This window comes from Homo sapiens, chromosome 8 (assembly GCF_000001405.40).
Source record: "Homo sapiens chromosome 8, GRCh38.p14 Primary Assembly".
In the NCBI taxonomy this organism is placed as follows: domain Eukaryota; kingdom Metazoa; phylum Chordata; class Mammalia; order Primates; family Hominidae; genus Homo; species Homo sapiens.
The window spans coordinates 99817531-99834990 of record NC_000008.11 but is presented as its reverse complement, the minus strand read 5'-3'; the positions used below and the strand labels follow the sequence as shown (position 1 = coordinate 99834990).

Below are 17460 nucleotides of genomic sequence, written 5' to 3'. Positions count from 1 at the left end.
TCTATCACCCAGAGAGAACTATAGCTAACCTTGTGCTAATATTTCCTGTTGTTCTTTTCTTCCCCCATGCATATGTGTGTTAAACTCCTTCGCCAGGCAGGGTACTTTCTTCTTCCTTAAAAGTGCTTGGTAGGCTGTGCATGGTGGCTCACGCCTATAATCCCGGCACTTTGGGAGCCAAGGCAGGAGAATTGCTTAAGCCCAGGAGTTCAAGCCCAGCCTCAGCAAAAGGGCAAAACCCCATCTCTACAGCAAAATACAAAAATTAGCCAGGTGCTGTGGTGCACACTTGTGGTCCCAGCTACTTGGAAGGCTGAGGTGGGAGGAGGATGGCTGGAGCCTGGGAGGTTGGCTTAAGCCTGGGAGGTTGAGGATGCAGTGAGCCGTGTTTGTGCCACTGCACTCGAGCCTGGGTGACAGAGCAAGACCCTGTATCAAAAAAAATAAAAAATAAAAATAAGAGCTGACCTTCTTTTAAAAGGACTACTAGAGAATTTGGGTGCTTGCTCTTTTTTTTCTAGAGGTAGGCAGGCTGATAATGTTTGCTGTCAATTTCCACAAGCCCATCACACCTTAAAAAATGTACATTTTGATTAGCAGGAGCAAAGCTGTATTATTTGGAGCTAGAAAACCAGCTGTGTGAGTAAAGGTTGCCTTCTGTGATGAAGAGAGAGAAATTTTCCTATTTAGATTACAGACTACCACAAAGAATATTTCTTTGAAGCAGGAAAATGAAATTACTCTGAAGCCTAAATTACATAGAATGATTGCCAAAATTAATCAAAGAAATCAGACAATTTGCCAAATGTGGCCCTCAGCTGACTAAAAGGGGTCAATAATGCTCTAAAAAGCTTCCATTTGCCATCCATCTCATTTGCCAGTGTGAGTACTTCCCAAAGATTGTATTTGTGTGAAATGTCAAAGTGAATGGTCCATTAGCATTTGGTAAAAGCACATTAATCACACCATCTAATGTGTGCTGTTGGTTGGATTGAGGGAAGGAAATAGATGAGGAGATGGGACAGCACAAAATAAATTCATTTTAAGAGTATAGTTCTTCGATAAACAGCAAAGTTCCTTTCCCAGCCTAATTTTAAAACAGCTAGGCGAGCCAAACTCAGATAACTTCTTTTTGATAGCCAAGAAGGCTAGGGCCAGGACTCAAGTATGGTACTTTCTGTCCAATATCTAGCTTAGTATTTATAGATAAGATTAAATTATACTGTAATTATCAGAATTTTAAGCTTAATTTCCAAATTGTTTTGTTTCAAATTTTGTTTTTTAAAAAATGTTTTATTTATTATAAGTTCATATAGCTTTCAAAAAACACCCTTAAACTCACTATGCTTAACATCTCCAACCAGAATGTAAGGATAACCACTCCTCTACAGTGTAAAAGATGACAAATGTTTGTAAAATCAAGGATTTTGTGAATACTGTGAACGAAGGAGGGATGTGTGGAGAACAGAACCTTACCATTATGAATAACTTATTTAAAATATTACTATTAAAAAAATCTCTCTTGTCTTTTAAAATATTACATCAAAAGAGTTAGCATTGCTAAATCTCAAATAAAGTCTACAAATTCATAATCATGAAAATAAGGTACTTATCATAAGGGCACAATATGTTTTCTTTTGTAGCTGTTATATATACTAAGTTATTCTTGACAGCTGCAGAAGGGACATTTTACATGCAAGACAACCACATAATAGAAGTCCAGTATGAACAAACCATTATATGTCTCTGGTTTGAGTCTGTGGTTGTTATTTGCATAACTGGTAATCGGTAATTGGAGCAACTTGCGTGCAGGAACGACCACAGAACAGAGTCTTCTGTGACTTGTGTTTATCTAAGTTATCTCTCTTAATGACTTTTTTGAGAAAAATTCCATTTTGAAGTAAAAGTAAAATATGGGAAAAGAAAAAGGTCTTCCAACTTGACTTGCTCATATTTTAACCCTTATTTCTTATAATTTTATGGAGGCTAAGAACTCATAACAGGTAATTTTTTCATTATGATATGATCTTTTCATACGATGCTATTTGTATGATGATACATATGATCTTTTCATATAATGACATTCTGTGGTACAAGTACCATCATTTCCCCCCAGCGTAAGCTCCATATGGGGAAAAATCCCTTAAGTAGTATGCTGGGACAAGCCATATGTGATTATAACACTTGACCCACTGTATACAATGTCTAGAAGTAATTAAAAATAAAGCCTAATATTACATATGGGGAGCCCTGCGACCATTGTATCTCTCTTGGCATCTAGATGAACAGCTAGACTGACAAGCAAAGAAGAACAGACATTTATATAAACATAAAATACCTGGTACAGAATCCATTTTCCCGGAAATTCCCGAGGGGTACTGCCACACTCTGTCTGGGAAACTCTGGTCTAACTATAGCTGGCAGGCTCCAGCACTGTGAGCTGTCAGCACCTGGGGCAGGAGAAAAGCCCAGCATGATCTGTTTCTGAAGCAGGGATGCATCCAGTACTGACTGACTGATGTCAGGCATCAAGTCCCAGCAAGGAAGGGAGCTGGATTTCATAGCAGGCTGCTCTCCACCTGGGCAAATGCTAAAAGTAGCACTGTCTGGAACACGAAAATACTAAAAAAAAAAAAAAAAAAAAAAAAATGCAGAGAGCACATTAGCTACAGTAATACAGCAGAATTAAACTTTTTAAAGCATATCTTCTTTTCTTTTCTTTTTTTTTTTTGAGACAGTCTCACTCCATCACGCAGGCGGGAGTGCAGTGGCACCATCTCGGCTCACTGCAGCCTCTGCCTCCTGGGTTCAAGCAATTCTCATGCCTCAGTCTCCCAAGTAGCAGGGACTACAGGCACATGCCACCACGCCCGGCTAATTTTTGTATTTTTAGTAGAGATGGGGTTTCGCTATGTTGGCCAAGGCTGGTCTCAAACTCCTGACCTCAAGTGATCCGCCCACCTTGGCCTCCCAAAGTGCTGGGATTACAGGCGTGAGTCACCACGCCTGGCCCCGTAAAGCACATCTTCTAAGACACCATCTATAACTATGTATTTTTAGAAAGAGGCTGGGTTGGGGACATGGGAATATTATGAATCCTGTCCCCATGAGAATGTCCTAATGAAATAATTAGAAGCAGTGAGAATACCACGGATGCTCAAGTCCCTTATACAAAAATGGCGTAGTACTTGTATATAACCGTGCCATCCTACAGTATAACTTAAATCATCTCTATATTACTTGTAATACTTGATAACATGTAAATGCTATGTAAATGATTGTTATATTGTATTTTAAAATGTGTATTTTAAAAATTGTTGTATTGTTAGTTTATTTTTTCCTGAATATTTTTGGTCTATGTTTGGTTGAATCCATAACTATGGAACCTACAGAGACAGAGGGCTGACTTTACCACAATGCATTGTAAGCTTAAAAGTATAAGACTTTTATCCTATTTGATTAATCTAACATAATTTTTAGGAGCTGAAAGCAGGAGGTAAAAGTGCAGACAAAGGTAAAGAAAGATAATACTTTCCTATAAGACAGTTTCAATAGTATAAAACAATAGCATACCACTTAACATTTTCTGTTTTTAAGTTCTCTTAAGACCTCTCCTTACGGCTGGGTACCAGTGGCTCATGTCTGTAATCCTAGCAATTTGGGAGGCTGAGGCAGGTGGATCACGAGGTCAGGAGTTTGAGACCAGCCTGGCCAACATGGTGAAACCCCATCTCTACTAAAAATACAAAAATTAGCTGGGTGTGGTGGTGGGCACCTGTAATCCCAGCTACTCAGAAGGCTGAGGCAGGAGAATCGCTTGAACCCAGGAGGCAGAGGTTGAAGTGAGCCAAGATCATGCCATTACACTCCACCCTGGGTGACAGGGCGAGACTCTATCTCAAAAAAAAAAAAAAGAAAAAAACACCAATTCCCGGGCAAGATGGCTGAATAGGAACAGCTCCGTTCTGCAGCTCCCAGCGAGACCAACACAGAAGGTGGATGGTTTCTGCGTTTCCAACTGAGGTACGTGGCTCATCTCACTGGGACTGTTTAGACAGTGGGTGCAGCCCAAGGAGGGTGAGCAGAAGCAGGGTGGGGTGTCGCCTCACCCGGGAAGCGCAAGGGATCAGGGAACTCTCTCCCCTAGCCAAAGGAAGCCATGAGGGACTGTGCTGTGAGGGATGGTGCTATCTAGCCCAGATACTACGCTTTTCCCAGGGTCTTTGCAACCCACAGACCAGGAGATTGCCTCTGGTGCCTACACCACAAGAGCCCTGGGTTTCAAGCACAAAACCAGGCGGCCATTTGGGCAGATACCGAGCTAGCTGCAGGAGTTTTTTTTCATACCCCAGTGGCACCTGGAATGCCAGCGAGACAGAATCGTTCACTCCCCTGGAAAGGGGGCTTAAGCCATGGAGCCAAGTGGTCTTACTCAGTGGATCCCACCCCCAGGGAGCCCAGCAGGCTAAGATCCACTGGCTTGAAATTCTCACTGCCAGCACAGCAGTCTGAAGTTGACTTGGGATGCTCCAGCTTGGTGGGAGGAGGGGCATCCACCATTACTGAGGTTTGAGTAGGTGGTTTCTCCCTCACAGTGTAAACAAAGCCTCCAGAAAGTTCGGACTGGGAAGAGCCCACCACAGCCCCGCAAAGCCGCTGTAGCCAGAATGCCTCTCTAGATTCCTCCTCTCTGAGCAGGGCATCTCTGAAAGAAAGGCAGCAGCCCTAGTCAGGGGCTTATAGATCAAACTCCCATCTCCCTGGGACAGAGCACCTGGGGGAAGGGGCAGCTGTGGGCACAGCTTCAGCAGACTTAAACGTTCCTGACTGCCAACTCTGAAGAGAGCAGTGGATCTCCCAGCACAGTGCTGAAGCTCTGCTAAGGGACAGACTGCCTCCTCAAGTGGGTCCCTGACCCCCGAGCCTCCTGATGAGGAGAAACCTCCCAGCAGGGGTTGACAGACACCTCATACAGGAGAGCTCCAACTGGCATCTGGTGGGTGCCCCTCTGGGATAAAGCTTCCAGAGGAAGGAGCAGGCAGCAATCTTTGCTGTTCTGGAGTCTCTGCTGGTGATATCCAGGCAAACAGGGTCTGGGGTGGACCCCCAGAAAACTCTAGCAGACCTACAGAAGAGGGGCCTGATTGTTAGAAGGAAAACTAACAAACAGAAAGCAATAGCATCAACATCAACAAAAAGGACAACTACGCAAAAACTCCATCTGAAGGTCACCAGCATCAAAGACCAAAGGTAGATAAATCCATGAAGATGAGGAAAAACCAGCACAAAAAGGCTGAAAATTCCAAAAACCAGAATGCCTCTTCTCCTCCAAAGGATCACAACTCCTCACCAGCAAGGGAACAAAACTGGATGGAGAATGAATTTGACAAATTGACAGAAGTAGATTCAGAAGGTGGGTAATAACAAAGTCCTCCGAGCTAAAGGATCATGCTCTAACCCAATGCAAGGAAGCTAAGAACCGCGATAAAAGGTTACATGAATTGCTAACTAGGATAACCAGTGTAGAGAAGAATATAAATGACCTGATGGAGCTGAAAAACACAGTACGAGAACTTTGAGAAGCATACACAAGTATCAATAGCCGAATTGATCAGGTGGAAGAAAGGATATCAGAGACCGAAGACCAACTTAATGAAATAAAGCATGAAAAGATTAGAGAAAAAAGAATGAAAAGGAACGAACAAAGCCTCCAAGAAATATGGGACTATGTGAAAAGACCAAACCTACATTTGATTGGTGTACCTAAAAGTGACGGGGAGAATGGAACCAAGCTGGAAAACACACTTCAGGATATTATCCAGAACTTCCCCAACCCAGCAAGACAGGCCGACATTCAAATTCAGGAAATACAGAGAACACCATAAAGATACTCCTCAAGAAGAGCAACCCCAAGACACTTAATCGTCAGATTCACCAAGGTTGAAATGAAGGAAAAAATGTTAAGGGCAGCCAGACAGAAAGATCCAGTTACCCACAAGGGAAGCCCATGAGACTAACAGTGGATCTCTCGGCCAAGAGAAACTCTACAAGCCAGAAGAGAGTGGGGGCCAATATTCAACATTCTCAAAGAAAATGTTTCAATCCAGAATTTCATATCCAGCCAAACTAAGCTTTATAAGTGAAGAAGAAATAAAATCCTTTACAGACAAGCAAATGCTGAGGGATTTTGTCACCACCAGGTCTGCCTTACAAGAGCTCTTGAAAGGAAGCACTAAATATGGAAAGGAAAAACTGGTACCAGTCACTGCAAAAACAAACCAAAATGTAAAGACCATTAACACTATGAAAAAACTGCACCAACTAATGGGCAAAATAACCAACTAGCATCATGATGACAGGATCAAATTCACACATAACAATATTAACTTTAAATGTAAATGGGCTAATGCCCCAATTAAAAGGCAAAGACTGGCAAATTGGATAAGGAGTCAACACCTATCAGTGTGCTGTATTCAGGAGACCCATCTCATGTGCAAAGACACACATAGGCTTAAAATAAAGAGATGGAGGAATATTTACCAAGCACATGGAAAGCAAAAAAAAAAAAAAAAAAAAAAAAAAAAAAAAAAAAAAAACGGTGGTTGTAATCCTAGTCTCTGATAAAACAGACTTTAAACCAACAAAGATCAAAAAAGACAAAGAAGGGCATTACATAATGGTAAAGGGATCAATGTAAGTAGAGCTAACTATCCTAAATATATATGCACCCAATACAAGAGCATCCATATTCATAAAGCAAGTTCTTAGAGACCTATAAGGAGACCTAGACTCCCACACCATAATTGTGGGAGACTTTAACACCCACTGTCAATATTAGCTCAACAAGACAGAAAATTAACAAGGATATTCAGGACTTAAACTCAGCTCTGGACCAAGAGGACCTAATAGACATCTACAGAACTCTCCACCCCAAATCAACAGAATATACATTCTTCTCAGAACCACCTAGCACTTATTCTAAAATTCACCACATAATTGGAAGTAAAACACTCAACAAATACAAAAGAACAGAAATCATAACAAACAGTCTCTCAGACCACAGTGCAATTAGAACTCAGGATTAAGAAACTCACTAAAATCCACACAACTACATGGAAATGGAACAACCTGCTCCTGAATGACTACTGGGTAACTAATGAAATTAAGGCAGAAATAAATAAGTTCTTTGAAACCAATGAGAAAAAAGACACAACATACCAGAATCTCTGAGACACAGCTAAAGCAGTGTTTAGAGGGATATTTATAGCACCAAATGCCCACAGGAAAAAGTGGAAAAGACCTAAAATTGACACCCTAACATCACAGTTAACAGAACTAGAGAAGCAAGAGCAAAAAAATTCAAAAGCTAGCAGAAGACAAGAAATAACTAAGATCAGAGTAGAACTGAAGGAGATAAAGACATAAAAAACTCTTCAAAAAAAAAAAAATCAACGAAACCAGGAGCTGCTTTTTTTTTTTGAAAAGATCAACAAAATAGATAAGACTGCTGGCCAGACCAATAAAGAAGAAAAGAGAGAAGACTCAAACAGACACAATAAAAAATGATAAAGGGGAGCTCACCACTGATCCCACAGAAATACAAACTACCATCAGAGAATACTATAAACACCTCTATGCGAATAAACTAGAAAATCTAGAAGAAATGGATGAATGCATGGACACATACACCCTCTTAAGACTAAACCAGGAAGAAGTCAAATCGCTGAATAGATCAAAAACAAGTTCTGAAATAGAGACAGTAATTAATAGCCTACCAACCAAAAATGCGCAGGACCAGACAGATTCACAGCCAAATTCTATCAGAGGTACAAAGAGGAGGTGGTATCATTCCTTCTGAAACTATTCCAAACAATAGAAAAAGAGGGACTCCTACCTAACTCATCTCATGAGGCCACCATCATCCTGATACCAAAACCTGGCAGAGACACAACAAAAAAAGAAAATTTCAAGCCAATATCCCTGATGAACACTGATGCGAAAATGCTCAATAAAATACTGGCAAACCGAATCCAGCAGCACATTAAAAGTCTTAACCACCAAGATCAAGTCAACTTTATTCCTGGGATGCACGACTGGTTCAACACACACAAATCAATAAATGTAATCCATCACATGAACAGAACCAATGACCAAAACGACGTGATTATCTCAATAGATGCAAAAAAGGCCTTTGATAAAATTCAACACCCCTTCATGCTAAAAACACTCAATAAACTAGGTATTGATGGAACATATCTCAAACTAATAAGAGCTATTCATGAGAAACCCACAGCCAATATCATACTGAATGGGCAAAAGCTGGAAGCGTTCCCTTTGAAAACCATCACAAGACAAGGATGCCCTCTCTCAGCACTCCTATTCAACATAGTGTTGGAAGTTCTGGCCAGGGCAATCAGGCAAAAGAAAGAAATAAAGGGTATTCAAATAGGAAGGGAGGAAGTCAAATTGTCTCTGTTTGCAGATGGCGTGATTATATATTTAGAAAACCCCATCAACTCAGCCCAAATCTCCTTAAGTTGATAAGCAACTTTGGCAAAGTCTCAGGATACAAAATCAATGTGCAAAAATCACAAGAATTCCTATACACCAATAACAGACAAACAGAGAGCCAAATCATGAGTGAACTCCCATTCACAATTGCTAAAAAGAGAATAAAATACCTAGGAATCCAACTTACAAGGGATGTGAAGGACCTCTTCAAGGAGAACTATGTACCACTGCTCAAGGAAATAGGAGAGGACACATACAAATGGAAAAACATTCCATGCTCATGGACAGGAAGAATCAGTATCATGAAAATGGCCATACTGCCCAAAGTAATTTATAGATTCAATGCTATCCCCATCAAGCTACCATTGACTTTCTTCACAGAATTAGAAAAAACTACTTTAAACTTCATGTAGAACCAAAAAAGAGCATGCATAGCCAAGACAATCCTAAGCAAAAAGAACAAAGCTGGGGGCATCACGCTACCTGACTTCAAACTGTATTACAAGGCTACAGTAACCAAAACAGCATGACACTGGTACCAAAACAGATATATAGAACAATGGAACAGAACAGAGGCCTCAGAAATAACACCACACATCTACAACCATCTGATCTTTGACAAACCTGACAAAAACAAGCAATGAGGAAAGGATTCTCTATTTAATAAATGGTGTTGGGAAAACTCGCTAGCCATATGCAGAAAACTGAAACTGGATCCCTTCCTTACACCTTATACAAAAATTAACTGAAGATGGATTAAAGATTTAAACTAAGACCTAAAACCATAAAAAGCCTAGAAGAAAACCTAGGCAATACCATTCAGGACATAGGCATGGGCAAAGACTTCATGACTAAAACACCAAAAGCAATGGCAACAAAAGCCAAAACTGACAAATGGAATCTAATTAAACTAGAGAGCTTCTGCACAGCAAAAGAAACTATCATCAGAATGAACAGGCAACCTACAGAAAGAAAATTTTTGCAGTCTATCCATCTGACAAAGGGCTAATATCTAGAATCTACAAGAAACTTAATCAAATTTACAAGAAAAAACCAACCAACCCCATCAGAAAGTGGGCAAAGGATATACACAGACACTTCTCAAAAGAAGACATTTACGTGGTCAAAAAACCTGAAAAAAAACTCATCATCACTGGTCATTAGAGAAATGCAAATAAAAACGACAATGAGATACCATCTCATACCAGTTAGAATGGCAATCATTAAAAAGTCAGGAAACAACAGATGCTGGAGAGGATGTGGAGAAATAGGAACACTTTTACACTGTTGGTGGGAGTGTAAATTAAACCAACCATTGGAACACAGTGTGGCAATTCCTCAAGGATCTAGAACTAGAAATACCATTTGACCCAGCAATCCCATTACTGGGTATATACCCAAAGGAATATAAATCATTCTACTATAAAGACACATGCACATGTATGTTTATTGCAGCACTATTTACAATAGCAAAGACTTGGAACCAACCCAAATGCCCATCAATGATAGACTGGATAAATAAAATGTGGCACATATACAGCATAGAACACTATGCAGAAATAAAAAAGAATGAGTTCATGTCCTTTTCAGGGACATGGATGAAGCTGAAAACCATCATTCTCAGCAAACTAACACAGGAACAGAAAACCAAACACCACATGTTCTCACTCATAAGTGGGAGTTGAACAATCAGAACACATGGGCACAGGGAGGGGGGACATCACACACCAGGGCCTGTCGCAGGGGGAGGAAAGGGAAGAAAGAAATACCTAATGTAGATGACGGGTTGATGGGTGCAGCAATGGCACATGTATACCTATGTAACAAACCTGTATGTTCTACACATGTATCCCAGAACTTAAAAGTATAATTAAAAAAAAAAAAAGGGAAAACATCTAAGATGTAATGGAGAGAAAAAAAAATCTCTCCTCTCTTAAAATATTAACTATTCATTTTAATTGTTCAAAGAACTGAAATTCTTAGATTTATTTTCCATATATTCTGCCATCAAGATGTTAACATAAATGAGCTAGTACATTTCCACATTTTCTCCTTGTAACCACAGAGCTCACTGCTCGCAGATCCACGGCTCAGTTAGGCCCTAGCCTTTTGCCTGCATGGCTCCCCCAGGCACTGCAGCCTGTGAGACAGATGTGCTTTTCCATGTGACCCAGGAGCCAGTCCTCATGACTATGTCTCTGCTTGTAGGAGTCTAGTGAGCATGCTAGAGGACTAGGCTGGAGCCTCTGAGCAGATGGGGCACAGGCAGGACTAATCCAGCAGTGTGTCAGGGCCTCCTTCTTGGTAGGATTTCTGCTCATTAATTACCTTGGAAGCAGTGACCATGACATTCATGGTTTTAATTACAACAAAAATAAGTGAATTTCTCTTTACCTACATTCAGGGTTAGCTTTTCATTTGCTATAGGTTAAAGAGAAGTTGATCCTATTTATTGTTTCTTTATCAAAACTTAGACAAAAGAATCGTTATGATTTGCTTACCTCCTTTCCAGAATGGGGATTGCAGACAGATAGCTGTGGTTTATAAAATATTTGATATGGTGTATTATTGATTATTGTAGTCTTGTCTTCAATCTGAATAATTTGTATACCTTGCTGTACCATGGAGGAAATGCAGAACTGACATAACTACAAGATAATTGAGAAAAAATAATTTTGACAATACTGTAAGGCATATCAAAATCTCTTGAGTATTCCTAAAAGGTTATTTTATCTAATTGTCTGCCAGGACAGTACCAATTTTACCTTTGTTTTTCCCCAGAATATTTAATGGCGTTCCTTTCATTCTCAGAAATGTTCTGGCCCCTGTCAGTATTTAGCCTACAACATGGTGCTTTAGCAGCCCTGTTACTTTTGCTGCTGTTCTGTAGTGACAGATAAAAGACTTGTTTTCTGGTTATTTTACCAGTAACCTCACAAAGTGTTTATTTAGAAAGCATGTATATGTAAATAAATGCCACTCATCTTACTTGGCAGAATTCCACCCAGCCTCACTCCTCCTCCTCCTCCTCCTCATGGTCTCCCAGCAGCTGCCTCACTAATGCCTATGATGAACCAAGGAGAGTTCTGAGAACTTCAGTAATGACGACAATGAAGACAATAAGGATTGACCTTCATATATTGCAATATTGTGTTCCACTAGTTTCAAGTGCTGTATACATATTAACTCACAAAATCCTCACAGTACCTACGTGGGGGAGTTACTATTATTAACCCCATTTTACAGAAGAGGAAAGTGAGGCACAAAGAAGTAACTTCCCCAAGGTCACAAAGATGAAGAGGGTCTAACTAGGGGGTTGGAACCCATGCAGTCTGGCTCTGTGGTGCTGCTCTTAACCACTACATGTATCATTTCATTACCTTATCATGTTATGTAAGGAACTGATGCTCAGAGAAGATGTTTCTTGCTTAAACATACCCATCTAGTTAATAGTATCAGAACACTGGTTTTCAAAGGGTGGTCTGGGGACCCACAGGGGATCTCTGGGCATGGGGTCCCACGGTCAAAACTATTTTTATAATAATAGTAAGATGCTATTAATCTTTTACACTTGAATTCTCTCATGAACGTACAGTGGATTTCCAGAGGTACATGACATGAGATGTTATTACTGTGATAGCTAATGGAATATATATTTGTATATTCTTGTGTTTTAAAAGTTTCTGTTTTAATTTCTAATCTGATAAATACTGATATAACCCACAGAAACAAAAGGTCTTTGGGGGTTCTCAATAATTTTTAAGAGTATAAAGGGGTCCTGAGACTAAAAAGAGTATAAAGAGGTCCTGAGTCACTACCAAAGCATAATTAGACATCAATATGTGTTCCAACAGTACATTCATTGATTCACAAACATTTATTCAACACTTGCTGTGGCTACTTTGTTAGGTGCTAGAGGTATTGGGTGTTGACTGAATATTATAACATTTTTTCCAGGTTTTGATGGTAGTTCTCAACTTACAACTATTCAACTTTGGGTGATTCATGCTTACAGCTCTTTGCCATTTACACCCATGTTACAGTACTTTGGCCGTCAGAGCATAAACATGTGTTGCCCAGACAACTTTGAGGAAATGGATACCAGCCTTGAATGCTGAAGAAAGACCAATTTCTTGGTATCACGGAAATTTATTTTTTAAAAAGTCACCAAATGACCCTAACTTTTCTCAAAAGACTTTTCAAAGACACTTGTCAAAAATCTAACTTCTCCCCTGAAAAAGGTCAATCTGAATTCTACTACTCTGATGAAGTATCCCTTCTTTTTCTAATTTTGGACAGCTAAAATAATGATGATATTAGAAGTACAGCAAAAAACTTCTGCATGGTACACTATGATATTGTACTTTCATACATAATGTGATTAGTTATATTATTCAGCTAATTGTTTTCATAGACTTTAGATTTATGCTGAAAAGCACATACCATTTATATTTAAATGACTTATGTTTTTTGTATGCATCTCCAAAAACATAGACACCAGTCCACTGTTCAAGAATATAACTTCCTCATATAACAGTGGTTCTAGGAGAGAATTAGAATTGATCCACATAATTTTTCTCAGGATGTCCTTTCCAGAAATATAAACTTTGCTGCAGGAGGAGCCTTTGTCCTTTCACTCTATGCTCAGAACGTTAGTGACTCTACTTTCTGCTCTAAAGAAGGAGGCCAAGTACAATTTGTGGATATTTTGGAGTAAGTTCATTTTCTCCCCACATACTATAAATCAAGTTACTGCTGAGTATTCTGAAATAGAACAATTATTGGATAAATTATGTGACACAGCTTTTATCACTGGTAAAGAAAAAAAAGCACTGTAAAACAGAGGTCTAAGAAGTTAAGAAATCAAATGTACTGTTATAAATTGTTTAGAAGAAGTAATATGAAAAAGGTATCAAAAAGAAAAAGGCAGATTCATTTTAGACAGGTTAAGGGGATGGCATGCTATTTCCTCCCAGCCACATAGACTTTGATCTTACCTTCTGATGTCCTGGAAAAGCACCAAGTCTTATTTCAGTATCAACAAACGCTTCTTCATCCAGTGTCACAACTTCACCATTACCTCCATCTTTCCACTTTGGAGATGTCAGGTTATGGACCAGTTTAATTGCTACTGACTTGTGCACAGTGTTTGTATTTGCCCAGTATATTCCAATTTGAAAAGCTTCCTGGAAAAATAATGCCTCAATTATAAAGTAATTTTCTTACCTTTGATATTTTTTACTTCAATCCTCAGGATTTTTTTTTTAATATTATATAATAGGTCTACTAAGGTAACCAAATATCCCTCCATGGTGTGTGTGTGTGTGTGTGTGTGTGTGTGTGTGTGTGTGTGTGTGTGTGTGTGTGTGTGTGTGTTTTGTAATGACAACGTACATTCTATTTTGGCTCCCAATGTATTTTTTTTTTTTTACTCACAATGGAATTCGTATTTACGGAAGGGAGGGGAAAACCAAACCCAAACAGTGACTACCCTGCAAATACCAAAGGCTTTAAAAACTGAAGGTTTCATCTCATTTGACAAGAGAATAATATGCAACATTAGGTCCACATAGGTCAACATTCCAATTCCATAAGGTAACATCACCTGATTATTTTACAGAAAAAAGAAAAAATGCAATTAAATAAAGATGTTTATGACCTGGAGCTCAAAAAAGGATTCTGAAATTGTTCTCTATCAGAAAGACATTTTATTTAGGAGTTACTTTTACTCTATTTTTTAAATAGATTTGTGTGTCTTCTTGAAATAGACTAGCCTTATAAAGAAGGTTTTGTGACAGAAATATAAAATTTTCCTGCGATATTTTGTTTTGCAATTAGGTTTCTCTCTGTGTCAGTAATCATTCCACACTGTTATAATCAACTGGGTAGACATCCATAATTATGAACATCCAAGTCCACCTATAAAGGAAAGGGGTCCCTGACAAAAACAGTTGCTCTGAAATCCTCAATATCTTGCAGATTGCAGAGAATTTCCAGAAGAACAGCAAAGAGTACCTAGGGTATGGATAAGCACACATGATGGCTCTATTTCCTTAATATGTACTGATAGAGCAGCCCAAATACTTGTCAAATATCCTATAACAATGGAAATAAGAATGTAACTAATCCAAGTTATCAAATTTAATGGTAACTCAAGCACCAATAGTGTTGATGGTTAAAAAAAAAAGACATCAGAAAAGTCCTTGAATATCAAAGAACATTCCATACCTCTTACATATGCATCTAAGAAGAATTTTTCACAACTGATTCATTCTGTTAAGATCATAAACGCAACTTTACAATAAAATCTACTTGTTGAGAGATAAGAATTCGTATTAGTTAAAAAAGTTATAGTACCTGAAAATTAGGAGGAATAATAATTTTGCCAGCAGGAACCTGTAGAACAATTTTCTCTCCTTCAAATAGCCAGAGGTCCCATTTGGATTCATTGATAAGCAGGGCCCAGGGCAGAAGTTCTATCAACAAAGTTCTAACATATGGCTTCCAGATTGACAGCTTCACTCGCATTGGGCTATCCCACTGACTTAGCTGTTCATTCCTGTTCCAAAAACCACATCCAAGAGACTCAATGAAATATGATAACTTTAATATTTGTGAAATATGTTTAAAGATTCCAAACACACCATGCTCCTGCATGATACCTCCTCATACCAGAATCTTTCAATGCTAAATTTGCATGCAGGAGAAAGCAACTTTTCATGCAATTATGATCTAGATCATGAATAAAGAAATCTACAAAATACACCTACTAGATGATAAAAGGTAAGAATCTGACAGATACATGCACACACCACTTATGGTATTTAATATTTTTGTGAATGATCATTTGTTAATGTTGAGAAATTTTTGTAGAAAAAGATCACTGAAGAATATTACCTGTCAGAATCCTTCTTATTATAGGGCCATATGGGTTGAAGCGACTTTTCTGGCCCATAGAATTCGTCAAGGATCTGATTAACTGTGCCTCCAGGGTGTACCTTAGTGGCTATTTGCTTAATGAGGGATGTTGAGATGGGAACTGCACAATCTGAAGGATCATATTCTTCTCTAGGAAATTGAAATAAAAACCAAGAATAATTATCAGATTTCTAAAGTGGTATATAATTTATTGAAAAATATCTAACTACAAATGTATTATAGACCAACACCTTTTTGGTAGATAGAGTCCATTTATGGGACAGTGTGTGGATGATCTGGGCCCTGGCTTTTCCTCTTTCTTCCCCCACCCCTCAATTCCTGGGTGTTGATCTCTATTCACATCTTCTTTCACCACAGAAGTCATGTGTCAATGAAACCTAAATTAAATTAAAAGTTCTGATGATCCCTGCTGGTTATTTCTAAGCTTAATGAGAAAGGCTGATTTTTATCTAAAACTACAGATGAGAATAAGAGATCCCTAGGCAGGGCAATTTTAAAATAACATTCTCATAAGATAAGAAATCATACAAAAAACTCCCTCCACTCCCATCTCCCTACCCACCCCTCCCCCGCCGCCCCCCAGTGCAAGGTTACTTTTCTACTTAATTTCTCCTAGGAAAATGTAAAATGTATGGAAGGATTTTTCTAGTACCTTGCTTGGAATGTCAGGTGATGTACAAGGTCAGGTTCTATGTTTTGCAGTGGTTTTTCCTGCCCTTTTCCTGGAATAATTTGTGTTTCACTCAATCCCAGACTCCTTTTCTCCAAATGTATGATAATGGGGTCTGGAAGATGACTCCTCATGATAAAAAGAGGGCTGAACACAATCTATAAAAATAAAAGGATAGAACAACTTTCATATTTGCTTTGTTGCAGTATTCCAGCTGTTTGATGCTGAAACAAACTTGTAATAAATCTCTTCCCTGGGTCACTCTGACCTTAATTTATTTCAGAACAGGAAAGGTCAGAGTCATATACCATATTTTAGGATTGGGAAAGCACTCACCATTCGTTGTTGCACTTGAGAGTTGGGTTCTAAAGTCAAAACTGTGCACCAGACATAAATAATGGAACTGTTTGAAGATGGCACCTGCACATGAAATAGCAAAGGGTCCTATTGAATACTAAGCAGTTTACTAATTAATCAAAATAAGGCACAGATACATCAGTTTGGAAGATTAAAAAGAGTTTAAAGTTTAGGGAAAAAGCCATTATTAAAAAAAACTGAGCAAAAACAGACTTCATTATGGCAGAAAGCAAATGTGCAGTGAGTCAGCGGGGCCAACTCTTTCCATAAAGACAAAGAGATTTGCATAAGGAGAGATATAAGACTAAGTGGCAAAATGAAAGAGAATTTATCCTTTATGGGAATGAAAGTGATGATGGTAAAGACTGAGGAAGAGATAAAGTAACAGACCATCATAAAGATCCTTAAGTGAGGAGGATACCACCCCCACAGTCCCACCCTACCCCTAACCCTGGGGCAGCAGAATCTTTTTCAAGATATCACTTGCGTCTGGGAGGGACAGAGTCTTGGCTGTAAGAACTACTGGAACTGATACAAATGTATTGTCGTGGGATGGGGAGGAAACAGTTTGAGAAGTACTATTCAAAGCCTTTCACTCCCCTTTTTTATATGTCACTTTTTAATAAATTAAGTGCTGTACGAGTAAAGAACATTTTGAGAAAATTTCAATGGTAAAGCTGCTCTATTCTAGATTGAACGTCTTTTCAAACCTGAATGACAATGCTGTACTCAGGGGCTTTGGATTCCAGGCACACATCTCTTGACCAGTCTTCATCTCCTTTGGCCTTCACACACAGCTCCGTCAGTTCATTGTTTTCTAGTATGTACGAAGGCAATTTCTGTTTGGCTGTGAGGCAGTCAAAATGTTCCCGAACTACAGCTTGTCCATCTTGACCAATGTAATGCTGAACGACTTTTAGTTCTATGCTTTGAGACAAGTAACTACAGATGATCTGTCTTCCACAGATGATAATCTAAAAGAC

The 17460-nt window shown here is 38.9% G+C and overlaps 1 protein-coding gene across 2 annotated transcripts in view; it reads right to left on the bottom strand.

The window, feature by feature from the left end:
• VPS13B (vacuolar protein sorting 13 homolog B) overlaps positions 1 to 17460 on the bottom strand; it is an 864307-nt gene that overhangs the window by 42590 nt on the left and 804257 nt on the right. For both annotated transcript variants that reach the window (NM_152564.5, NM_017890.5), the window contains exons 45-52: positions 17188 to 17451; positions 16457 to 16540; positions 16103 to 16278; positions 15409 to 15579; positions 14869 to 15070; positions 13509 to 13697; positions 11013 to 11159; positions 2339 to 2622 (exon numbers count right to left, since the gene is read on the bottom strand). In NM_152564.5, coding sequence (NP_689777.3) covers positions 2339 to 2622; positions 11013 to 11159; positions 13509 to 13697; positions 14869 to 15070; positions 15409 to 15579; positions 16103 to 16278; positions 16457 to 16540; positions 17188 to 17451 — 1517 coding nt within the window. The remainder of the gene's footprint in view (positions 1 to 2338; positions 2623 to 11012; positions 11160 to 13508; positions 13698 to 14868; positions 15071 to 15408; positions 15580 to 16102; positions 16279 to 16456; positions 16541 to 17187; positions 17452 to 17460) is intronic.